The sequence below is a fragment of the Homo sapiens genome, chromosome 2 (assembly GCF_000001405.40).
Source record: "Homo sapiens chromosome 2, GRCh38.p14 Primary Assembly".
Lineage (NCBI taxonomy): Eukaryota > Metazoa > Chordata > Mammalia > Primates > Hominidae > Homo > Homo sapiens.
The window spans coordinates 40,374,610-40,401,643 of record NC_000002.12 but is presented as its reverse complement, the minus strand read 5'-3'; the positions used below and the strand labels follow the sequence as shown (position 1 = coordinate 40,401,643).

General features: G+C 36.5%; 1 protein-coding gene and 1 pseudogene across 23 annotated transcripts in view; both read left to right on the top strand.

Moving 5' to 3' along the window:
• The window catches only part of SLC8A1 (solute carrier family 8 member A1), a 415,166-nt gene that overhangs the window by 110,792 nt on the left and 277,340 nt on the right, over window positions 1–27,034 (top strand). The window lies entirely within an intron of this gene.
• Window positions 78–25,705, top strand: LOC124905995 (peptidyl-prolyl cis-trans isomerase NIMA-interacting 4-like; annotated as a pseudogene).

The following is a 27,034-nucleotide window of genomic DNA, read 5'->3' as shown; positions in this document are numbered from 1 at the left end:
CTTAATGTGACAAAAAATACATATTAAGAACTCACAAAGCTTTCTTTTCTTTCTTTTTTTTTTTTTTTTTTTTTTTGACTGGCCTATTAATTCAAAACTAGTTTCCTTACTATGCAAGGAGCTTTACTAGGCAGTAAAATGAATACAAAGTTAAATTTAGTATGGGAGAAGAAATGTTTGTAAATATCTGTAATACAAAGAATCATGTTAAAAAAAATAGCATAGAAGAAAAACAGGTAACATGGAGATTTAGACCTTGAAAGGTTTGGGCAACATTCTAACAGTCCAAGTTGGGTAAAGAAGTTTAAGGGGAAGAAATAGTATGAACAAATACATAGAGGCAGGAAAACTTGTAGCGTGTTTGAAGAATGGTACAAGTACAGTTTCTCCGAAGTGTAGGGTTCTGAAAGTAGATGGTGTTTGGAAGATAACACTGCAAAGTGCAGGCATGCCACAGAGAAATGTCTTAGATGTAGTAGAAAGAACAGACCCATATAAGAAGACTTGCAATCAGGTTTTTCCCTTATTTCTGGGTGATGATTTCTGCAACTGGAAAATAGTAATAAATGTGCCCACCTCACAGTGACCTATGATGGTGTCTGTGTTTTCTAAACTGTAAAACACCATGCAAATACAAGATACAGATGTCCTCCTCCTCGTGGCACCAAAATTCTGTGTGGCTTCCTTTTTCTCCTCCTCTCTCCCAAGTTTTTCAAATGTGGCTTTTCCCACTGAGTTTACTGCTCCCTGCCCATTTCCTGCCTTTGCTTATTACACGGAGAACTGGCTCTCTGGGCAGTGCTCCCTATGCCAGTTGGCAGACAAAGTCCTTAGAAGGCAGATGCTCCAATTCTGACATCATCACCAAAATCTCTTCTAGTTTTCTGAGAAGAGCCCTCTCCTACCCCCATCTTGCAAGGGAACTGGTACCTTTCTTTCCGTGGCTCTCTGTCCCTCCCACCTCATTTTCCCTCTGAAGGAGGTAGTTCATTCCCCACTGAGTTTGCCAGCAGGAACACCCTCTCATTTCCTCCCTGTCTGCCTGCTTCTCCTTCTCCCCTTTCCTCCTCATGTGATCCATGAAAGTTTTACAAAGGACTTTGACTCAGGCCAAGAGAAAACAAAAGATTAGAAAAGAAGAGTCTAGTGAATGCATGGTTTGATTTGAAATACATTTGCCACGTTGCCAGGAACATTTTGACTACACAGCTTCTAGTTCCTTTGTGAATTCTCAGATAGCCCAGTCTGACTCCTTTTCTTTTTCTTTCCTGGGTGAGTCTTCCCTTCAATTATGTACCCTCATCTTTCGGTTCTAGGATCTTTTGGTTCTAGGATAGGTTAATGGAAATAAATGTAGTGATGAATGATACAAGTTGTTACGTAGCAGGACAAGCCGCAGACAAAACTCCTCAGACACCAAGTTAAAGAAGGAAGGGGTTTATTCGGCCGGGGGCATCGGCAAGACTCCTGTCTCAAGAGCCGAGCTCACCGAGTGAGCAATTCCTGTCCCTTTTAAGGGCTCACAACTCTAAGGGGGTGCACGCGAGAGGGTCGTGATCGATTGAGCAAGCAGCGGGTACGTGACTGGGGGCTGCATGCACTGTTAATTAGATCAGAACAAAACAGGATAGGGATTTTCACAGTGCTTTTCTATACAATGTCTGTAATCTATAGGTAAAATAACCGATTAGGTCAGGGGTCGATCTTTAACGACCAGGCCCAGGGTGTGGCGCCGGGCGGTCTGCTTGTGGATTTCATTTCTGCCTTTTAGTTTTTACTTTTTCTTTCTTTGGAGGCAGGAATTGGGCATAAGGCAATATGAGGGGTGGTCCCCTCCCTTAGTTAATTGGCTAAGGAATTTAGAAAGATGGTGGTTTTCATTATGTCAGTTTCAGCAACTTAAGATGGTTTCACTTATTCATCAGTGACTTTTTTTCCCCCAAATGTCCTTGGTAAAAATGACAGGGGCTATTTACTTAATATTAGTATTTCCCACAGCATAGCATTTTTGGTAACATAACAATTTAAGGCCCCTAGGGAGCATTTAGATGGTTTTTCATTCTGGTAAGAGTTAGATTAAAAATTGCAGTCTTTTTATTTTTTGGATCTAGACCTCTAGAGACGAGACCATTCCAGACCTGCATAAAATTCCTTCAGCCAACTTCTCCTTCAAGGATTTTGAGAAGGTCATCCTAAGAGCCTAGCCTAAGCTGCAGCAAGGTTGCAGTGGCCATAATCTACCTGGCGTGTTGTTTCTGTTGATTTTTCCCCAAACTTCTCTGATCCTAGTGTGGGGTATGTGAAAAAGGGGAGACGAGGGGTAGGGGAGACGAGGGGTAGAGGAGGCCCTCACAAAACAGTGTCAGTGAATCTCGTATTTGGTTTTCCGAAGGCATGTTGCTAGCTGCAGATTGCTGTCTAGATTTCTTGCTGGGAAGCTTAATCTAATAAAAAATCTTTCAACATTTCTGCAGTTCTGTTCTAAATCAGTGGGAATCAGGTGATACTTTGGCTGTTTTACCTGTTCTTTCCTCTTATATGACCATGAAAATGTTAAAATAATAGGTACTCCTGACTGATGAATCTCTGACAGATGCTTTCTCATTTGGGTCCCTGGGCTGTTTGTGACTTTACATTCCTTATTTCATTTTTAAAAGTCATTTTTCAAAATGTTTTGTCAAATATATAGATGATAGATAAATAGAGAGATAGAGTCTGTTTCTTGATAAGCCACACTGACAAATTTTGCAAACATCAGAATCTGTTGCTTCTTCCTAGGCCAAGGGAAGTGTGTCATTTATCAATCAAACTGGGTAGTAGCAGTTGAAGAAGAGCTGTAACTGTCATCCTAGCATAGTTTATAACAGCAGAAGATTCAAAACAAGCTAAATATCAATATGGGGATGGTTATGAAAATCACAAGGAAATACTATACAGCCATTTTAAAAGAATGTTTCAAATGAATAATTATTTACAAAAAGATGTTCACATATTTTATTTCATAAAAGGGACTTTTAAAAATCATATTGACTATTCTATGATTGCATTTTTATAAAAATAAAATATGTACGTAGGAAATTTATTTGAAAATTGTGTTAGTGGGTCACCTTAATGGTATGATAGTGGATATTATTTTCTTCTTTCTGTTTATCCACATATTCTGCTTTTTATAATGAAATTGTATTGCTATTGTAATTCTTTAAGTTACTTAAAATTTAACTACATACAGTAGAAAAACAAATATACCACCAATAACCAGGAACAAGACAGTACCATGACATATGGTGAGGAGTGGATCTAGATATGATACACGCGTTAGTAACATAGGTCAAAAGACTCTGCTGGTAGTGCTGAGAGACTCCTCTAAAAAGCCAGCCAAACTGGAGGCCAGATCAGCAAGAGGAATTGAAGAAGCTGACCAAGACTAGGGAGAAGGGACCAAGGCACGTTGTACTTCTCTTGAGCCTGGAATCAGGTTTGCATTGGAAATAAGCTGGAAAAGAAAAAGTGGCTCCATATTTTAAGAGCTAAAAGACTGTGGGTACTTCTGGGTTACTTTCTTTCAATAACTGCAGAAGAAATGCTGTTTCTCCAAGCTGGCACTGGTGTCAAATGAACAGAGGGTCTCCCCATTCTGTTATTTTCCTGGCAGTTGAAACATCCGTTGGCTCAGCTGTTTAATGTGTAAGTTCAGTGTCCCACAGGCCATTCTCCATAAGGCAGCAGCTACCCAACCATGATAAATTTAGTGTCAGGTCTGCATTCAGAGCACACTGTGTCCCACTTTAAGAAATTGCCCTGGGTCATGTAGCTAGTTGTAGAAGTCTGTGCAAATGCTGGTGATTCCCAGGGAAGAAAGATAATATTTTTCTTTGACCTGGATCTCTGTTTCTATTGATTCTCAGAGTGGTTCTCCTGGTGAGAATCCTTTCCACTTCTGAATGCTTTGTGCCACTTGTCTCAGGGTAGGGCCTGAGTATTGTCACATTTATGAAACTATACATATGTGGTTCTGATATGCAGCTAGCATTCAGAAGACTGATCTGGAACGGTCAGGCTCGGCAAATGTATGTGGATACATAGTAATGATAACATGAAAACTTTCAAGTGCGTAGATGGTTTCACACCCACAATCAGTTGACAGTGCTTCTTGTGTTGATTACCCACCTGTGAAAATGGATTTGCAGCAATTCCTCTTCCCTAGTCCTCACTGTGAGCAATGGAAAACTTAGTTGAGATGAGCTTTGACTATGGAATGAGACAAGCCAATTATTCCATGTTGGAACTGCCTCTGAATTTTATTATCTATAATGCTTGTTTTTATCAACTTAGAAAACTGACCTGAAAGTCATAAGCTAAACCATCAATGGGCACATTAGCTCATGACATGTATACACTAGCAGCTGACAGTGGAATACAATTCAGAAAGAGAGAAAAGGAAGGGGTGGAGTCAGACACCTTCTTGGATATCTACTATGTGCCAGGAATTACTTTAAACACTGTGTATCTGTTCTCATTCAATCCCTACAACAATACTTCACCTTTTTTCTGTTCAATAAAATTAACTGATCCACGGATCCACTCTTTGCACAGAGCACTGAAATATTCTCATCAGCAACTTTCAGTTAAGCAATATTTAGACATTACTTTTCCAGGGCCATGGAAATTGCAGATTTAAACCCTGAAACCTGTCAAACCTTGTGCAAAATGACAAAGCCCACCTCCCCTAACACCGTCCTGAACAGTGGATCCCTGTGGACTAGCTAGAAGACCAACCCAAAAAGTCAGGTCATTATCACTGGAATAATTGTCATTGATACAGCAACTACAGTTTCTCTTGCTGGTTTGCTTCTTTAACTTCTCTTGTTTTTTTTTTTTTTTTTTTTTTTTTTTTTAGTTATTAGAGATGATGGAGGTTAAAAGGATGCTGCTTAACAAAGATAAAAGCTCACTTAGACTAGTAATCTTTTTTTCTTTTTAAAGAAACATAGGATTACAGAAATATTTAATGAATTAATAAGGTACTTCTCAACACATTTTTTTCATTGCCAACTAGTTTTTCCAGGTTATGTACATAATTGAAAAAGTGTTGTGTTGCGTGTTATGCTTTGATGCAGTCTTGTTTTGTAATCCATTGCTTTCAAATTTCTATCATCATCTTCTAATTATCTTAAATTTGCACTGTGCTACTAGAATAGAATGATGGTATTATTACTATTATTACTGGCAGCAGAATTGAAACCTGGAGTATAAGTGGTTTGCAGACCATTCATAGATTCATGTAACCGTAGAGATTCATGGTTGAGTAGTTGAGCACCTGACTTCTATGGGAAAAGCAGCGCTCTTCAAGTTACTGCCTAATTAACAAACACACTTCATGGATTGAGGATTTAAAGGGGAAGAATGGTCATGCTTAGTACAATTGAATGCATATTTGCTACTAATTACATATACCTCACATTTTCTCTTAGAGACCAACTGCTTTAAAAATATTTTATTAAATGTTTTTGTTACCCTGACAGAGATACATTCCTTTAAGGGTGTTTTCAGCAAAACATTCAAGTTTTCAGGAAGTATTATCTTTCTTTCCTTTTACCCCTTTCCCATTTCCATGAAATTAAAAGGAAATGCATAGCCAAGTGTTTTTTCCCAGAAGAAAATAATAAGAAATATGCTGATTTTACAGAACAGTATGAACAGTTATAAGGGTCTATGTAAAAGGCAGCGTGTGTTCATTCTCCATGCATACTATTAGTAAAAATGAATGGACTTTCTCCTCATCTGTTTTTATTTAGAGCAGGACCTTCTTGCATTGAATTTCCTGTGTCAGCTGTGTTCTAATTCTGTAAAGCCTTTGGTTAAGGAACAGCTCTGACTCTATATCCCTATCTTTTCCTTTCCCATGTCTTAATTTTGAGTTCTTATCACTCTGATAATAAGCAGACATTTCTGAAAATCAGAAATCCTGCAGTTCCACTTTAGTTTTTCTTTCTCTTCCACTACCTTTCCTCTCTTAGAACAGTAAATATGTCAGATGGGAACCTAAAGTCAACCTCTGTGCTGTCTTGCTCTGACTTAAATGCTCTCATCCAAGTAGGTGGCATTTCTCATGAGGGGCCAGACAGAGTTATGGAACACCACAAGCAGGGTAGCCTTCGGATTTGACTTGAGAAATTAGGAAGAATCTGGTGGTCCTGACTAAGAGTGCCAGTGATAAAAATCCAGGTGAGCACAGACCATTGTCATAAGAGGGGCCTGCACACAGTTCTAGATAGGTATGTTTACAGGAATTCGTGGTCTGAATAGCAGGGCTAGATCAGATTTGAGATCTGATTTACCTAATACTAGAAAGAATGTAGTCAGTCAGGAGACTCAGGCCGGACTTTTTATTTGATAAAGAAATGAAACTGTTGATGTTGGTTTCTTCAGTAGGATTTCTCTACTTCTTTTAGACTTCTCAAAAGGTTTTTGTTTCTTTAGTTGTTGCTTTTGTTGTTGTTCCCCTACCCTCAGAAGTAAGTAGATTAAGGTAAACTTTTGTCTTAAAGAGCACTGTCTAGTTAGTCCCTGTTTTCTGGACATCAGTGGTCTGTTAAATCTATAATCAGTAGGTGAATTTGTTTACACAGACATGAGCATTTGTGCACATCTTTTGTGGGACTTTGCAGAAAAGAAGAGAGATGTTACCTCCTCAGCTCCAGAATCTTTTACTTCAGTGTCTCATTTCCTCTCTGGGATTGGGGTAGAGTTCTTGGCACAGAAGATGCTAACAACTGACTTTCTGGGAGTCTTTGCACAAATGACAACTTCTGTGGCCTTCAACTTCCCCAAGCTAGCATGATGGGTAGATTAATATGTTCCTTTTTGGCAGGAATGGGAACTAATTTTTTTTTAAAGAAGGAGGAAAAAACACGTTGTGCTAAATCAGTGATTACTATGGCAACAGGCACTCTATACATGTTAGAAAAAAAGAAGAAAAATGCAATCACAGTTCTCTAAAGAGGAAGATAGCAGAAATAGGTTCACAAACTTTATTTTCAAAAATCAATAAATATGTAGTAGGCATCCACTATATGCTCTGTATAATCTTATCGAAATGTCTAACAGAAACTTGATGATAAAACCAAATCTGCCATTTGCTTGCTACCGCTCTGTTTCAGAAATTCACTCACACACCACACACACACGCACACACACACACTAACAGAAAAACCACAAAGAAATAGTATATACCATATTTTAAATAAAATAGTTAAATTTCAGTGCCCTGATGAATCCACGTTAGAAAAAGCAAATATCTTACTAGCTTATTGGGCAGAAATACCCAAGTTAGAACAAATTACTCTCCCTAGAATGGCTGTATTCACCCCCCACCCCACAAAATGCAGGTGTTTGCGTAACATGTTGCAACCGTGTTGGACACATAGTTCTTAATGTTAGTGCAGGGTTTCTCAACTTAAGCTCACTTAGACTAGTAACCTTTTTTTAAGCTCCGTTGACATTTTAGCCCAGGTCATTCTTCTTTGTGGGGGGCTGTCCTGTGCACTACTGTAGGATGTTTAGCAGCATTCCTGAGCCCTACACAAAATGTCAGTAGCATCCCCCAGACTGCCACAAGCAAAACTGTCTTCAGTCATTGACACATGTCACCTAAGGGGCAAGTCACCACTGGTTTAGAGCTACTGGTTTCAAGTAACCCAGCTGTGTTCTCAGGGCTTGTGGTGGGGTATTTGAAATAACCCATTGCCATGAAAAGGGTAATAGGCATAAAAATAAAAGCTGAACTTTATAATATTTTGGTTGATTGGGTGATTTAGGTTATGACTATTAGTGATTTTGCCAGTTTGGCTCTTTTATGACAGATCCTGTTATATAAATAAAATCACTAATTTTCCAACTGTAGTATCTAATTGTTACAAGCTGAATTTTGGCAAATCAAATGACACAAGGATAATATTCCAATTCTTTATTTTTTCACATTACACAGTTATCCCCCTAATTAGTTTTGCTGGGAGCACCCTCATATGGGTTTATATGGAATTGGAAACAATGTTGGTAAATTAGAGAGTACATTCAAAATTATGACTACACAGTGGAAATAAGAATGTAATAATCTTTTACAGCAAAGGCTGTACAGATTGTTTTAAAGGATTAAAGAAACAGTGAACTAAGGGATGACAGAAAATCATTTGGAACATAGCAATTCCACCCTTGAACCTGTAAATATCACATTATAAATTTTATATGTGAGATTTTCATTGTATTATACTACCAGATAAAGCAACCATAAACATAGATTGCTAAGTTTCTTAATGCACATGCTTTGAGAAATGACCTCAAAGCACAACTGGATAGCTGTTGGGATTTTTTTCCTAAGTAATACAGAGCTGTGAGGTTTGAAGTGTGTTCTAATCATTGTACTTTCGGAATTTTCAGAAAAAAATAGAGGTGATGCTAACTTGTATGTTTTGGATTTTGTAACTTTGTTCTTGACATGTTATAACTCTGTAAAACGGAGCTATAAAATAGATTAGACAGTTTACATATTTTTTAAAATCTGAATGAGTTCATATAGTTCAGCTAAAGATGAAACACTGATAAAATTCAGTCAGTATCACTATTGATTTGACAACATTTCTCCTGCTCCTCTTTTGTCTGCTGACTCCTGCCAGCAAAATAAAGTAGATTTACTAGTACACTATAATCTTTAGAGTTCTTACAAGGCACAAACAGTAAGTATTTAACTCTATGCAGGGTAAGAAGAAGTGAAGTGAGTAAAAAGTAGTGTAATCTGTCCCACTTTAACGTAAACATTAATGTAAATATTAATGCTGAAAGCCCTCCTTTGCTCCACAAATCATAACCATGATTTTTTATTGTCCTCTTCTCCGTTTTCTTTTTTCCGGTACTGTGATCATTGGCATTTCATTACTAACAAACAAGAGGGAATGTGAAGAAGGCAATTTAAAGGTTATATCAAGGAATACAAAATCTTGGAAGGCTGTGGAACTTTCAAAGATATTTTTAGTAAAAGCACACAGCAAATTGGTAGATCTTCAGCAATTAGCACTTACCCATGACAATTGATACCAGCCTGTTATGTCAAGCTGCTTGTGATACCACATAGTATTACTAAGATGCATAGGATGATTTCATTTTGCCCACTTTCATCAATAAATGAGCCTAAATATTTATGTTTCCTAAACTTCCCAAGATATTTCTCTTCCTTTCTTGAAAATCTTTAGGAATAGAGGAAGTTCCTAGCTATTGGTTCTCTGTTGAGTAATGCCTAGTGGGAACGGGTAGATAAGATGGCCTCTTGAGATTTACTCTTATTTAAATGTGATGATAAAGATCTTTAGGTTTTCTTGCTTGCTTGCTTGCTTGCTTGCTTGCTTCCTTTCTCTTTCTTTTTCTTTCTCTTTTCTTTTTCTTTTTCTTTTCTTTCTTTTTTCTTTTCTTTCTTCCTCTCTTCCTTTCTTTTTTCTTTCTTTTATTTTTCATTCTTCCGTTGGTTCATTTGTTCACTCTTTGTTCATTCTCGCTTTCTTTTTTATTTTTCTCCTTCCTTCCTTCTCCTTCCTTCTTATTTTGTTTGTTTGTTTGTTTTTTTAAGAGAAGGCAACCAGCATTTTGCTGTTTCCACTTAAGGACTGAATGAGAAGAAATAAGTCAAATTTGATCATCGATACTTTGTATTTATGCAGAACTAAACAATTCTAGTGACAAAGGACATTTAGTCAGTGGGGCGATATTGGTAGAAATGAAGCCTAGTGACATGAGGCTGAGGGCTCTGCCTGAAAATGTGGAACTTTGGGTTTTGGTCTTTGCGTGATGTGGTTAACACTTTTTGTCTACCTGATTTATTTTGTCATCTGACACGTGAAGGTATTTGGTTTCAGTGCCCCCTAAATTTTCCCTCAGGTTCTATAATTTGAGGGTCTGGGACTAAGAGTTCCAAGTTGTGGATATGGAAGCAGAATGATTGCTCCAGGGGCTCTTCTAGTCTCAGAAGACTTTGAAGTAAAGACTCTAGGAAAGAAAGAGCATGAAAGTCATAATGCTCTTATAAATTTTTAGGGATTTACAGGAGAAGTATTTATGGTTCCTGTCAAATTCCTTATGGCTCTATGATTACTTCACATTGAATGGAGGGAGAGAAATTCAGCTGTAATCTCCTAGTTTGCCACCAGCCAGAACAATTGGATTTTCTTCAAATAGGAGATTAGAGCTTCCAGAAAGTATTTCTAGTTCCATATGCTGCTTTCTTTTAAAAGGACACTTATTCCTATTTATTCAAATCCCTTTATGTCCCACGAACATCACTTTCCCTTTCTGAGTAGCAAATAAACTGCTTTTCTTCAAAGTCTTTCTCCCAGAATGGAATTACTTAATTATTTGTGAGTGTGCATATGTACACACACACATACACACAGACATATGTGTGTGTGTAATATATATACACACACGCATCTACATATATATTTATATATATATATATTTTAAGGAGAATAGAATGCTCAACAGGAAGGATTAGTAGAGAAGCATACTTTAAGAGCAATATTTTTCAAGTTAGAAAAAATCCAAAGGTAATAAAAGCAACTTTCATAAAATGGTTGATCTTGTCAGTAATCTTTCTAGAAACATCTCCACAGCATGTTAAACTGCCTCCAAATATATCCACAAAGAGCCATGCGGTAGCTCCCATATTTATTGTTTGCCCTTTCAGGCAATTTGCTACCTGAGAATAGAAATGCCAAAATAAGATAAAATGTCTATCAAATTGGGTACACAGATCTTTTAAAAAAATTTACTCTACATTTTCTTAAGCTCACTTGGAGTGATTGGACAAAAGTGTTCAGATTGAAATGGATGCAGTCCCCTGATGTTAAAATGTTGCTGGGACAAAAGTTACATATCGGGTTGTTAAAAAAAACATGGCAGAAGCCTCTGTGGACTATGTGTATGTGAAAATGGCACATTTCAACAGCATGATCTGTCTATAGGATAAGATGGTGGTTCCTCAAGTTGAGGGGGCATCAGAATAACCTGGAGGTTTGTTAAAATACAGATTGCTGAACTTCATCCTCAGAGTTTATGACTTAGTAGACCTAGATGGTATGCAAGAATTGACATTCTAGTAAATTCTCAGGTATTTCTGAAATTGGTGGTCCAGGGACTCTACTTGGAGAACCACTTGAATCACAATTATGTTTCTGTAACTATTTAGAATAATTAGCAGGAAGCAGGTGAGAAATTGCCACAGACTTTGGAGCTGAGGTGAATCAGCCTCATTTAATAAACATTTTATCCACAATTGAAAGTTAAAAAAAAAGTGGTAAATAATTATATGATTCCAAGCCAAGTGACAATTGCAAGCTGAACAGAATCTGCTCCTTAAGGAATGTCGGTGAAGAGTACGGGAAACGATAGGTGAATCTGTCACTTCTAAAAGCTTCTAAAACAATTACAGTTTCTACTAATGCTCTTACTTTACTACAGTGACTAGGTTGTGTAATCCAGATTTTCTAGTAAAATGTTTCTTCCATTACAATTGCCTAATAATACATTACAACATATCTATATTATGGAATATTATACAGCCATTAGAAAAAGGAAGATTGAGGAACTTTCAATGAGGAGGGAAAATGTTTATAACATGTTAGTTGGTAGAATACCAGATTCACTGTGTGTGTATGTGTGTGTGTGTGTGTCTATAAATTGGAAGAAAATATTTTATTAGCTTTGGTGATTTGGGGAGACTGGCTGATTATAACATTGATTTTCTTTGATATATATGATATATATATCATATATATCATATATCATATATATATTTCCCCAAATTTTTAAGTGTCCATCATAAAAAAAAGTATCTGAAAACAATTTCTCATAATTTAAACTTTCTTTTGCTTCCCCACACCTAGGTATGAGACCCACAACTGACATGGGAATTGGAAAGGGAGTGACATGGGAATTGGAAAGGCAGTAACATGGGAATGGGGGTAATTTTCGTGGCTCATTCAGTTGGATGGTCTGGGGTTATAGTTTTTATTGGTGGGACATAAAAGTAGTCTAAGTGGTAGACTTGGGATTTTTGGTAACTGACACAATGATTTTTGTAACCACATTTTGTCTCAGTGTAGCAATTTTATTTGCTAAAACTTAGAATTAATGATACATATTTTAAAATGTCTGTTTTATCTTTCAGAGTGAGGAAAATCCTGGAAGCTTAGATTAGATTGTAAATATGAAATATTGCAAACTGATAGCTTAAGGCTGGCACCAAAGGGTTTAAGAATTGAATGTTCATATCACCCTCTACTAAATATGTAGGACACTTACCGTGAGACTGGGGATTAGGGATTCACAACATTATAAAGGGTAAAAAAAAAATCCTTTCTATACAGCCAACTATTGATCTCTACAAATTGTCCGTATAGCCTCTCTGTTAAATACGCCTATAAATAGGATCAACTTTGAAATAGAAATATTTTAGGTTAAGCTTCAGGCCATCCCTGTGAACTTTATTTACACACACACACTCAAATATATGTATAAAAACCTGCAAAAAATATATAGCCACATTTGTGTAAATATGTATACACACATATATACGTATGTATTTATATACACATTTCTAAGACAGTGTGATAGGTGAACACTTACGTTTCCTAAACTTTAGCTTCATTATGTTATCCTTTGTTCCCTAGATTCACTAAATATTTCACAGCAGGCTCAAGGTCTTAAGCAATTTTCTTATCTGATTTTATTCCTATTTAATAGTTTTATCTAACACACCCGTTATTTGGGTATTTGGATTCTACTTGCTTTTTGATTTATTTACTTTTTTCTAAGTCATGTTGTTTATTAAAATTAACAGAATGTTTTAGAGTTCTCTTTGTTTTGCACATCACCAAAAGAGCATTGTTCACTTTGCGTTATTTGATTTGGTCCAAGCTTCTGAATAAAAGAGGAAATTTATAAACAGAAAATTTCCAACAAAATTGTCAAAAACCAGTGTGTTTAACAAGAACGTTTACCCAAAGGACATAAATTAGTGATGACACTACATACTGTTGCTTAGATGCATAGAGTGATTTTCTTTGGTCCACTCTCATCAGTAAATGAGCCTAACGTTTTAAATGGGTCCTTCTCATGGTTTAGAAGCTTGAAGTTAGTATCAAAGGAGATGCTCTTCAGTATTTTCTCTATCATTAGTCACTTTTTGCAATGCTGTAGAATGAAAAGTAAGATACTGCTCAGATGAACGTCATCTTCTAGGAAGCGTGCTGTCAGAACTCATTATGCAACAACAACTATATATCTTATGTTTCACGGGGACACACACACATTAATGTGATCCATAAAACATTTCCAAATGGTTTCTATATTTTGTAGCAATTCAAGTTTAAGCACTTTTATGCATTTAATTATACTCTCAAATGTTCTGCCCTAATCCCTAAAGCGGGTTTTGATGATTTCTAAGGGGCACTACTCATCAGTGGCATAAACATTTGTTTATTTGGCTTAAGTGGGAACATTTTTCACCATGACTTGCTTTGAAAAGGGATTATATACTTTTCAGTCACAATTTAGAGATGCCAATTTGAGATACAAAGTAGCTAAATTGATTAACTGGTATGAGAGATTTCCTTAGTAGCCCATCAGTCTCAACTAATTCTTTTTTTTTTTTTTTTTTTTTTTGAGGCAGTCTCTCTTTCTGTAGCCCAGACTGGAGTGCAGTGGCATGATTTCGGCTCACTGCAGCCTCCACCTCCCAGGTTCAAACAATTCTCATGTCTCAGGCTCCAAAGTAGCTGGGATTACAGGCACATGCCACCACACCCGCTAATTTTTGTGTTTTTAGTAGAGACAGGGTTTCACCATGTTGGCCAGGCTGGTCTCAAACTCCTGACCTCAAGTGATCCACCCCGCTAGGCTTCTCAATGTTTTGGGATTACAGGCATGAGCCACCACAACTAATTCTTAAGTACCCCAAGTTAATATCCTCCTGATAAGTCTAGTTCAACATAATTAGCATAGATAGTTTATTATGAAAATATAGCTATAACGTCTAGGATGCCCCTTTCTTCAGATAAATAACAGTGAGAACAATGCAGAAGGAATAATCAAGGTACTCTTAGGTAGTTTGTCTGCGATGTTTTGTATCTGGTTTCAATTAGCTTTGCAAAAATTATGGAAAAAAAAAGTTTGAGTTTTGGAAACTTTAGCCAGTTCATTAAAAGCTTGTATCTTCCCATCCTACCCCTGTGTGAATAGAATATATCAATTTCTTTGTTATCTCCTTTGCTTCTCTTCTACATGCCACAGTAATGGGAAGCTAAAATAAGGTGGTGATCTATACTTGCAGCATTTCTCTAGAGAGAAGGCACACAAAGAGGAACAAAATATCCAAGTAAAGATGTAGACCCTGGAAATACCATTACTACAGAATAAACCTAAATAAAATACAAGGAAAGAAAGACAGAGATGGAGGTTGAATTCTGAGGTCCAATGCTCTGTGAGGTCAGCCTTTGGAACATACTTGTTTCCAATGAATCATTCATTCTTTGGATCTTCATAAAGGTTGTTATGCTCATGTACAATTTGATCTCTGTGAATTTTAGGATCCAAGTTACTTAAGATATTCTAGTTTCTCTTTATTCAAGTGTACACCATTGGAGAGTTTAAAGATAATATTTGGGTTGAAGTGATCTGCTATAGTAGAACCACCACATACTGAAGATAGACAAGGAAGACAAAATGGTAGTTTGTTGTCATTCATGGTATTTTAGGGATACATTATTTATGTCAAGGGGCAAAACTCACAAAGCCACAAAAGAAGAAAACTGGCCTGTTTGCTTATAAAACCTCCAGCAATGAGGAGTAACCAATGCTCATCCATCATGGGTTCTGTTTCCGTACATGAATATATGGACTTACTGACTTTTCCTACAATTATTTATTAATAATATACTTGGAAACTTAACTGCATTGTTTTCCCTTTATTTTTTTTTTTGATTTTTAAATTTCATCAAGTAATTAGACCCAATACCTTGCTTTGTATATCATAAAAGGGTAGTCCCATTATTCATTATCTCTTTTTTCATTTACTTGATGTTAAATAAAAATCCTGATCTAAAATAGCTTTAGGCTTTATTTTTCATGCATTCATTCTTTGGTGAGATTAAATAATGTAAAAGCCTCATATTATTTCTCAGACCTTTGTCCCAAGGTCTGAGAGGAAGCCTCAGGTTTGAGCCAAGGAAAGGAATTCCGCTACATTGACTTCTATTGCTCTGTTATATACACACACACATTTACCATTTGAAAGTAAAATAGACTCATTATAAAATTCTGGAAAATATCTAAACTAAAATAAAATAATATAAATTATCTCCAGCTGTATTAATAACAGGTAGTCATTTAAGATTTCCACGTATTTCCTAACAGTCCTTTTTGTTTTTGTCCGTGGGCATATGTAAACTTATATTTCAAAATTAAAATTATACTTTATATCTTGATTGTATTGTAAGCATACTCCATGCTATCAGATATTCTTTTAAAACACATAGTAGCATTTATTTGGAGCTCAAAAGCAATACCAGTTCAATAAAGAAAACTCGGAGAATTTAAAAATTTATAAAGATAAAAATGAAAATCACCTATTATAATTCAGAAGGTTTACATTTTTGTGAATGTTCTTTCTACCTCTCAAATCTTTGTAGTGGTGGAATAATATTCTATCATCAAGTGGATTATCATTTTGTGTACTTTTTTTTATTTGGACATTTTATAATTTCCAGGACTATTTTAATTTTAAAAACCATTGTCATTACATATTTTACACTTATATTTGCCAAGCTTCTGTTTTAAAATAGATTCCTTTAAGGGGATTTACTGAATCAAAAAGCATGAAGTTTAAAACTTTTTTTAGTACACTTTAGCAAACTGCTCTCCAGAAAGACATTTGAAAGATGGTATATTAAGTGTTCAAAAGTTTCCTTGGCTTCAGCCTGCCAAAGTTTAAACTTTGTTTTATGTTGCTCCTCATGGTACATTTTTTTCCTTGTTGATATGATAACTTTTACATTATATTGATGTTATTATTATCATTATCCCGTGTTTATTATAAATCTCCTCACCTATATTTATACTTCTGTCTTTTCGTAGCAATTGATACAGTTTCCAAAAAACAGATACTTTGAAAAATGGTGATTTGAGAGAGATTAAAAGAGAAAGGTAGGAAAAAATAAATGAATGTTTTAAATCCAGTATTCAAGACAACTTTCTTTAAGTGTGGCTGATCACTGAAGGAGAAGGAGAAAAGCCCAGAGTTACAGTAGTATGTCTCAAAAACTGTTCCTTATAAAACTTGATTAGAAAAAAGGAGTTTCCTCCTCGAGACTAGGATTATTCCTATTGCATCTTCTATTTGCAGAAACAGTTAAGAACATACTCGCTCTTAAAAAGGTGATAGCAATTAATGACCGTACTATTTGCAATTAACTTTTCATCACTACAGGATCAAAAGTACTATAAGAGTTGAATTTTTGAGTACTATAGGAATTGAATAGTGGCATGTCATTTATGATTATTTTAGAAATGTATTTTATAAGAAAGTACTATATCACTTAGATTTAGAAGAACTCTATATACTTAAGGAGAAGTGGTGGCAGGCATTAGGAAAGAGATTTGACCTTGATTATGCAATCCTTGTGAAATTACAAGTGCTATTATAAGTAACAGTTGTTAATCTACACAAGTAAAGCCTTGACTCATCTGACCACAGAAAAGACAATAATTGCAATAGAAGATAAAATGCCGGGAAAAAATTGTAAAAGCTAATACATTTTTAAATGCCCAAATGTGAAAGTAATGAGAAATTAGGTTTTTAAATATTTTTTGGTTTCGAAAGGCTTTCATCCAGTCCTTGAAATTTTTTAACAAAACCTCCCTGATACATAAATAAAAAATATAAAATATTCCACCAAAGATCATGACAAAATACAACTATAATATCTTGAAGAAATGAGCATAGTAGAAACCAATAGGTGGTGCAATGATGGCCAAGTGAGTCCATTTCTTATTTATAGAAGAATTTAGTTCTGTCTTCTATGTTCTTTTTGAATGATGATGATGTTGATGTATAGTGTACCTTCTTTCAAAGATAATTAGAGAATGTTGCCTTCTATACCCATGATTCATGATGCAAGGTTCTGTTCTGCTTGAGACTGTCTCATTGTGTTTTCATCAAATTTCAACAATCTACAAAAGACTGTGCTCAATAACATACAGAGTGAATCAAGAAAGTTTCTAGTTAATACAATAAATAACAGTTTAATAATTCTTAACATTTTTTAAAATGTTATTTATTTATTTTAGAGACAGGGTCTTGCTCGGTCTCCCAGACTAAAGTGCAGTGGCACATTCTTAGCTCACTGCAGTCTCCAACTCCTGGGATTCATGTGATCTTCATGTGTCAGCCTCCTGAGTAGCTGGGACTACAGGCCCACCATGTCTAACTGTTAAAAAAAAAAACTGTAGAGATGGGCTCTTGCTGTGTTGTCTTGGCTGGTGTAAAACTCCTGGCCTCAAGCAATCTTCCCATTTCAACCTCCCAAAATGTTGAGATTGCAGGTGTGAGTCACTGCACCTGGCCAGTGCTTACCATTTATTACTTTATAGTGAATTGTAAAGTTCGCAGATGCCCTGTTACCAGATCTGTGAATGACTGAAGGTTCACTCTTGGATATAGGACTACATTGTATCTCTAAAATTTCTGTTAAGGATAATGTTTACAGATGCTATTAATTATGACAATTTCCCTATCACACGTATGCATCTCATATACCACAGTCTGTGACTTCTGTGGATCTGTACCTTTGTTAAATAGTGTCTTGCCAAATAAATTGACAAAATCCATCAAATGGATTTAAGTGACAACTACTTAATATTTAATACTTGTTTATGTATTAAGTATTACTTAATTAGTTGGTGTGACCTTGAGCAAATTTTTTTATCTAAGATTTAATTTTTTTCTCTGTTAGTACCTACTTCTCTAGTGAGTACTATCATAGTTGTAAATCTAGAAAGAGATAATTTATATAATTATTTAACACAGGTCTGTCACATGGCAAATATGCTCATTGTTATTATTTTTATTACTAAACTTGAGTGATGCTCTCTACCAAAATATGAAGCGAATGACAGTCACCAAATGTCTTTGGGATGGTTCCTGTGTCAAATGTTTCTTATAAACATGGCGAAGGATAAGAGCAATTCTAAAATATAATGTTTGTTATTTTGTTGTCCAACTAAGGACAAAAAACATATATCAAATTTGTTCCGGTATGTAAAAGTTACTAAGTGACAAGTGAGATATACAAACAATAGCCTCTCCAAATTTCAAAAAAATGTGAAAAATTCATGAAACTTTGCTCCATGATTTATGTTTATTATCTACAACGTGTCTGTAATCTTTAATTTGCCAATTTTGAATACAAGGATGTGTCAAAACAGAACGTATCATTAAAAAACAAAATCAAAGCAGGGATAATAGGTCCAGATTCATTTAGTGTTTTATCATTGGGTACCTAATTTGCCAAGCACTATGTGCCACATTTATATGTCAACAATAAATGCCATAAGACAGGTTGTGTATTAAATAGTATAAAAGCAAATATAGTATTCATCAAGTGTTTATTCAGATGAATTAATGAATGAATCAACCAAGAAAGACATAATTATAATAGAATCCCTCTTATATTCCTGGTAGTTAATCAAAATGTCAAAGTAGGAATTTTAAATAATTTTAAAATAGACATTCTATTTTAACTAAAACATATAAATGTACATTTACTCACTTCTATTTTAGTAGAACAATTAAAGCTTTTCTTTAAGCAAAGGTCCACCAGTTGTAAATTTGTGTTTTCTTATTTGCTCAAACCATACCTATAATATACGATTTTCAGTTTAGATGGTTGCAAGGCAATCTAATTGCAGAGTTCATACATATTTTGCCCAGTCTTTTATAATTGTCTTCTTTACATCAAATCAGGCAGTCAAAAGAAAATAATACTAGTCTTTACGGAGTGTTTATTAGTACTTACAAGGCATTCTGCTTGTTTCTTATAGGGATAACTGTTTTAAAACACTCATATTTTATTGATTTGAATAATATTTAATCAAATTATGGAAATTACGGTAACAAAAGTGATGTAAACAGGTTACGGAATAAAAATACTAACCCTTGGCAAATGTGCAGTTCTACCATCTGGATGTACCTGAAGACCGCCTACTAGGTGTATGTACTCACTGTGCTACAGAGAATGTTCAGTTCACCAATAAGTCATCATTAAGTAGAGATTGGTTAGGAGAACTTCTACTGTTATGCCTTTCTGAGCTATAATATGCTAGACTCTGTGGCAGGTCATTAAGCTTGGCCTCTTTGGATGAATTCACAGTCTAGTGAAGAAGATATGTAAAGTAATAATTAAACTAATTACAATATTAGTGCTACAGTAGAGAAATGTGTGTTACTGAAATGCCAGGGGTTCTGGTTAGGTCCTACTGCTTGCTGCACAGAAAATCAATCACTGAAACAATGATTATTGTCAGGGAAGAAGGCTTTATTGGGTGCTGCAGCCGAGGAGATAGGAGATCAGTCTCAAATCCATCCTCCTGACTGACTAAAATCGGGTTTGTAGAGCAGGGAAGAAATGTAAGTACATGAGGAGAACAGGAATTAGGGAGAGGTATGGAAGAGGAGTTGGTGAACAGGAAGCAGGTGGTCAGTTAGGCAGTCATGATAGGTGAGGGGTGTGGCTTCTCTTTGTCCAGATGGTGATCTGGAAAGTTTCAGTTCCTTGATACTATCTAGGAGGCCCAATGGTTGGTTTCCTGAAAAAGGAACTCAGATAAGACAAATGTAACTTTCTCAAGTTTTAAGACTGGGAGAGTCAACTTCTATGTTTATTTAAAAGAAACCATAAACATCTGTTCTATAGGACAGCTGGGTCCATTTCATAGTTATCAGAGATCATGAAGGAAGTTTTGACTAACTTTATGGAGATGGGAAGAATGGGGCCAGGTAAAAGACATTTGACCTGAATTCTGTGAGATGAATAAAATTTTGACGAAGTGAAGAGAAAGAAACCTGTTCTGGAGATATGAATTGAAGGTTCATAAACTCATGGAGAGATGTGAGAAGAGAAAGGAGTTGTGAAGTTTGTCCCACAGGAATCTCTAAGATACTAGGAATCTTGTTATACTTACTTTAAGAGAAGTATATAAGGAGTGTTGTGGAAGGACAGGGAAATGGAAAAGTTAATTTCAGCCAAGCATGTGGGTGGGTGGGTGGAGCATGTAGTGGATTGGGAAAGGCTCCCTGGAAGAGGTGACAGTTCAGCATTCATCATGCAGTAAACCATTTCAAGCAGGGCTGGTGGTATTGCCGAGTGCAGCCAACCCCCGATTTTGATGTTTGGAGCAACCAGCTGAGGTTGTTGTTGTGGATATACAATCTAGAAAATTTGGCTTGCCTGGTTGGTGGAAATTTTTCTTTAATCACATTCTGCTATAGGAAATGAAGAGGTTTGGGGAATTGACCAATCCTAAGTTTCTTCAGTCTAAGAAAAACTTCAAACTCGGACACTGAAAGGTGTGGAAAATCAGTGAGTCAGAGAGAGGAGAAGAATCTGGCATGTCACAGAAAGCCAGACATTTTTACTGCCCTACTTTGGATCCCATACGCAGGGTGATTTGTTGAAAAGTAGCACATTCCCTGAAGAAGTAGGACACCTGGTAACCCTCATTTTAGTAGGGAGGCCAGATCTAGCTGTAGCCAGGTTAGTAAGTATTTTCTCCTTTTCCTTTGTGAAAAGCCCCCTCAGATCCAGTGTGGACCATCATTGCTCAGGAAATTCTATTAAGTTTAATCTTTGAAATCGCAGTAAGTGTAGCAATAACATAATTAAGGCACTCATCACTTGCCGTAAGCTACTTTATTTTGCTTTAGGATGTTGAAGTGTTCTTCAAGTGCAGCTGGTGGAACCCACTTGTGCCGAATAATTAGTAATGATTTCAGTCAATCCTCAACCAACAAATCAAAAATGATTTTGCATCTGTCTCATAGTCCTTGGTGTTAAAAAAAAATGAGATAAAACAGATAAGTTTGTCTTTTTTTCTAGTGAAAGTTCCTTGTGAAGACTATAGAGATTCATGAAGAAATTGAATAGGCTGTACATCCATTGCACATTAATGCCTATGCTAAAGGCATTTCATAGCAATTCTTAGGATTGATTTATTATTCTTCCAGGCTGTTTTGTAAATAGACTGTGAAGGCAAGGGCCTTGCATGCTTGGCATATATATGAGTGTGACTCTTGCTGTCTATCAGCATGGCCTGGGGTCAAGCCCTTGACCTCTTCAAGCATCAGCTTTATCATATGGAAAATGAGTACAAGGATACTTGTTCGGTTTACCTCTTGGCATTGCTATTGAGATAGAACAACAAACAGTGCTTTGTAAACTACAAAGCACTGATCAAGCTAAATGTAGTAAGCCAAAATTTTCCATGATTTTCATTGTAGACATTATGATATAATGTCAGAAAATGTGCTGACATGTGGTATCAAGTGACATAAATAAGACTTAAAGTATTTTATTAATTTTCACATCTCTAACAGTATGAGACCTACTAGAGCTCTTTCCTAATGGCTCCATATTGGCAAAATATTTGAGTGAGCCATTAAGTTTTTACTGTGAGTATATGTTTTACATTAAGTTTAGCCTGAGAACTTTAATAGATATTTAGAAAGACTTCAGGAGACTTCAGTGGCAAGTTTTGAAGATGCTGCCCCAAGGAAAATGTGGCTCTGGGAAAATGAGCAAAGAAGAAGCCTCTTAGAGCACCAGTGCTGACATAAAGGCACAGGGTCCCAAAGGTGATGGTGATGCGGTAAACAGACACATTCTCTGCAGGGAAAAAAAAAAAGGCAAAATCATGAAGGCTATGGAAACATTAGTCTGGAATGAGATTCAGTGAAATGGCTGCACAACATAGTCAAGCTAAGGACAGGCAAGGGGGCGACTTCGGTTAGGTGACCAGAGGGTTCATGGGGGACACTTTTGAGAAGCACCATTTGCCATGCTTATAAGTGGGATGGATAAGCCTGTATTTATAGATCTCCTGGTTAAGACAAAATTTAAGTATCATCTTATTATGGTTGAAGGAAGAAAACAAAAATCATATGAAAAATTGAAGAAAAAAGAATTCAAGTCATCTACATTAGCTAAAACTTCTTAATTGTAACAGAAACTAGCGAGGTATAGAACAGTAGTTTTCAAAGTGTGGTCCATGGATCAGTAGCAAGGACATGACCTGGAAGCTTAGAGATTCAAATGATTAAGCACCACCTCAAAACGGAATCAGAAATTCTCAAGAGAGGGTCCAGTAATTCATGTTTTAACAAGCTTTCCAAGTGGAGTAAATAACCATGGGGATTTTAGGTATTTGCATTTATTCACTAAAAAATTATTAAAATGGCATCTATTATGAGCCAGATGCTATTCTGGAAACTGGCGGTAAAACAGTGACAAAGATGGACAAAGAGCCTGCCCTCATGGGGTGAACATTCCAGTCTGGGAACAAAACAGTGAACAAATAAATAGTGCATTGTAAAGTGGTGATAAATGCCTAGCATGAATACAACTTAGGCAGGAGAAGGAGATAGAGTGTTTGATACTGCTACTTTAGAATATGGTCAAAGAAGACCTCTCTAGGAGGTGGCATTGAGCTCAACCTCAGCAAAATGAGGGGCAAGGCCATTTTAAAGAGAGAAGTGAGTTCGCTGGGCCAAAATAGGAATTTAACAGGAACAGGAGCATGTGTGTGATACCTGGCTGAATTCTTTCTGGCTTCTGACCTCTACTTCTCTCCATGTGTCTGACTCATTCCTCTTTCTCTGCAGATGACGGGCAGCTTTCTCTTCCACAGGAAAGGTACAAACTGTTATCAGCTATATGAACACTCTGACTTGGTTCTAGTTTGAAACTCCCAAGAAATAATGCTGATTTTCCCAGACACTCCTCTGCTCAAAACTCTCCACTAGCTTCGCACTTCACTGAGAGTAAAAACTCCACAAAGCCTGGCCTCCTGTTACCTGTCAGACCCATTCTCCCCATCACATACTCTACTTCAGCCATCTGGGCTTCCTTCAGTTTTTCTAGGTCTTGTACTCCAAGGTTTCTACTCACACATAACCTTTGCATTTCTTCATCCTTCTGCCTGGAACAATTTTCTTCCACATACCTGCTTAACTCACTCCCTTCTTGTCTTCAGGCTGTTACTCAGATGGCACTTTTCTGCAAGAGATCTTCCTGAAATCCAGGAAATTGCAGCTCCCATGTCCTTCCATATACTGTTTCCCCCTGAGCACTTATCAATATGAAATATACTAGGCATTTCAGTGGTTTTTCTTATTTCTTATTTCCCTTTCACCAGAATTTAAACTCTATAAAGGCATAGATTTTTATCTGTTCTGTTCACTGATTTATCACCAGCTCCTAGAACAACGCATTGCATACAGCAGGTTATTAATACATATTTGATGAATGAATGAATGGATGACAAAGAGTACAGGATAATTTTCTTTAAAACCTGTGAAATGAAGTTGGAGTTTGTGGTAGAAATTATAAGACAATAAGAAGACTTCATTACAACAGGGTGAAATAAAAACATTTTGAATTGATGACCATAGGACACAAGATTTCAGTCTTATTCTGCAACTGAATGGCCTTGAGGAAGCCACAGAAACTTTGTAGGGCTCTACTTTGTCATCTATAACAGGGAGAAGGTAGTAGAAGTAGACCTGATTGGAGAGGCAGGAGAAGACTAAACAATATCTGCAGTGCTTCCAGCTCCCACTCATACTCGGTGATGTCGTATCTAGAGACTAAGACCAGGTATGTGGACCAGAGTTTTTTATTATCTATGGTGGAAATCTATTTTAAATTACTTGAGAAAAAAACAGGTGGTGCATGTGTGTGTAGATTCACTTTGAGCTCTGCTCTAGGGCTGTGAGTTGGCATCTGAAGCACACAATTCAGAAGTGAGACTTCAAGCACTTCAAATATTTTTATATTAGCTTTTTGTTGGTGCATGGCAAATTACCAGAAATATAGTGGCTTAAAACAACATACGTTTGTTATCTCAGTTTCCATGGATTAGAAGACCATGCAGTGTTTAACTGGGCTCCCTGCTCAGGGTCTCACAAGCCTGCACTCAAGGTATTGGCCAAGGCTGGGGTCTTATGTGATGCTTGGGGTCCTCTTCAAAACTCATGTGGTTTTTGGCAAAATTCACTTTCTCGAATCCATAGACTTCATGGTGGCTTGCTTATTCAAAGCCAACTGGAGAATGTCTTTGAGTTTCTTCTTTCAGTGAAGCCCTGGACCCTCTTCTTAATGGGTTACCTGATTAGGCTAGGCTCACTCGGGATAAACTCTTCCTTGAGTAACTTAAAGTCAAATAATTAAGGACCTTAATTACATATGCACACTTTCTTCACTTTTGCCATACAAAATAGCCCAGTCTTAGGAGTGACATCCCCTCACCTTTGCCATATTCTATTCATAAGAAGCAAGTTGTATGTATTGTTCCCACTCAAGAGAAGAGAATTATATACCTGGTCATGGTTCATGGGGGTCATCTTAGAATTCTACCTATTGCATAATAGAGGGCATGGTAATTATAATAGACATATGGAATAAGTTTCCATTTTGGAAATTACAAGTATTCAGATTATTTAGTTGACAGGAGAGATTTTATAAGCCCTACTCCTCCTGCATTAAGGACATATAGAATCTGCTAGCCCAGCTGCTCAATACTTTTGAGGCAGTTAGTACACAGAGTCAAAGCATCATCGGTCCTTGTCTCCCATTTCACTGGGGCCTCCACTGGCTAAGTGACTCCATGGTTGCCTGGTCCTGTTGTTTGTTGGTTGCATCTGCCACAGCGTGAACTTTCCTTTCCTTTTCCTTTTCCCTTTCCCTTTTCCTTTCTTTTCCTTTCGCCACTTTTGAACTTGACTGAAATGCATGAACATTGCTTATGAGGTAAATGTCAGAGTGACTGACAACAGAGAGTGAGACCTCCTCAGATTTACAATGTCTATTTTGTGCCTGTTTGTAAACAAATGTGGAAGGTTCAGCAGAATTTAGTCTGAGACTTGCTTTTATAGAACAGAACGTTTGATAGTGAAATTGTAGGCGAACAAACCATAGCTACTGTCTATCTCTAATCCCAGGTGACCATGATTATTTACCAAAATATTGACAAGCAAAATTGGCTTAGGTTAGCTTATCTGAGACAGAAACCGTTGAGGTACAATGTAAATTGTACATTGTTAGATGCTTAAGGTTGGCCACAAATACTAGACTGATAGGTTAACAGTTAAGTCACAAACTTATATTGCAATCAGTGAAACTTAAGAGGAATGACAAAGATGTTGGAAAAAAATATATTCTAGAAGAAAATTTTAGGTTTGAGAGTCTACCTCTTCATTCAGCATTCTAAATATACTGTTGAAAAAGTCAACCTACAAATTACAACTTTTTATTTATTTATTTATTTATTTTGAGACAGGGTCTTGCTCTGTCACCCAAGCTGGAGTGTAGTGGTGCTGTCTCAGCTCACTGTAGCCTCTGCCTCCTAAGCTCAAGCGACTCTCCCATGTCAGCCTCTGAGTAGCTGAAACTACAGGTGTGCACCACTGCGCCCAGCTAATTTTTGTATTTTTATAGAGGCAGGGTTTCCCTGTGTTGCCTGGGCTGGTCTTCAACTTTCGAGCTCAAGCAATCTGCCTGCCTTGACCTTCCAAAGTGCTGGGATTACAGGTGTGAGCCACCACTCCCAGCCTAAGCATATAACTTGATATAGTTGTCAAGTGATTAACTTGTTTCAGTTTCTTTGGGAGTGGGTCTTAACTCATCTGAAATCCTTAATATCTTTTAGGAGAATAATTGACTAGACCACTCTTAGCCAACTTTACTTAATTCTATCTGTGGTAATGATCCTGGAGTCATATACATGAAAGTTTAATGAGGACTTTATGGTATTTGATACCATGTTGAAAAGGAAACATAAAATTCTTCTAATAAAACTATCCAATTAAAATGCTTATTTTTTAAAATGAGCTGCACTTTACTAATTGGATATATTGTAAGTAAGTTTGTTAGGAAAATTCACCCTGCTCCAGAATCCACTGGCTTAAAATTCCCTAATTGGATTGGAAAATAAACCAAACAAACCAACAGGAAGATAAATATTACCAATATTTTGAGTCAATTCTGTCTTGAATTCATCAAAGCCAAAGGTACTAATATCTGTGTTTATGCTGTTCTTAGGGTTTCTATTTTTTGTTTGTTGTGTTTTGTGGTTGTTAATTAACTGAGCATTCCTTCAATCTCTAAATTTCTTAAAAATATCAAGTGTGTCTTGTGACCACCATCAGCTGCAAACACAGCATCAACTTACCAAAACAGTCTTTGGTGATTAATCCATAATGACAGGGCTGTTCTCCCGACTGATTAAATTCATTATCAAGCAGCCAGAGGTAGAGAGCTCTCCATGGAAGATTTATTACTCTGGAATTACCTTTCTAGTTTATACTGATGAAGCTAGCTTTGGTAAATAAGGAAGATGAAAATATAAGGGGCTCCTTTTTAGTGGATATTGACGAGTACTTTTAAAAATGGCTAGTCTGTATTTTCAGTGTCTCAATTCTTAAAAAAAGTCCTTAAACATATGTCATCTTTGGTCATTCACAAAGCAGTTGAAATGGTTTATTATCACCATGTGGGATCAGCCTCTAGAATAATCTTTTAGAGGCTGTATCAGGCCAGGCTGATACAGCCTGTGTGTGTATCAGGCCTGAATGTGTGTCAGGCCAGGCTGGGAAAGTTATTGTTCTTATTCTGTCTGCCACCATCACCTTGGTTCACTTTATCACCAACAAAGCTGGATTTGG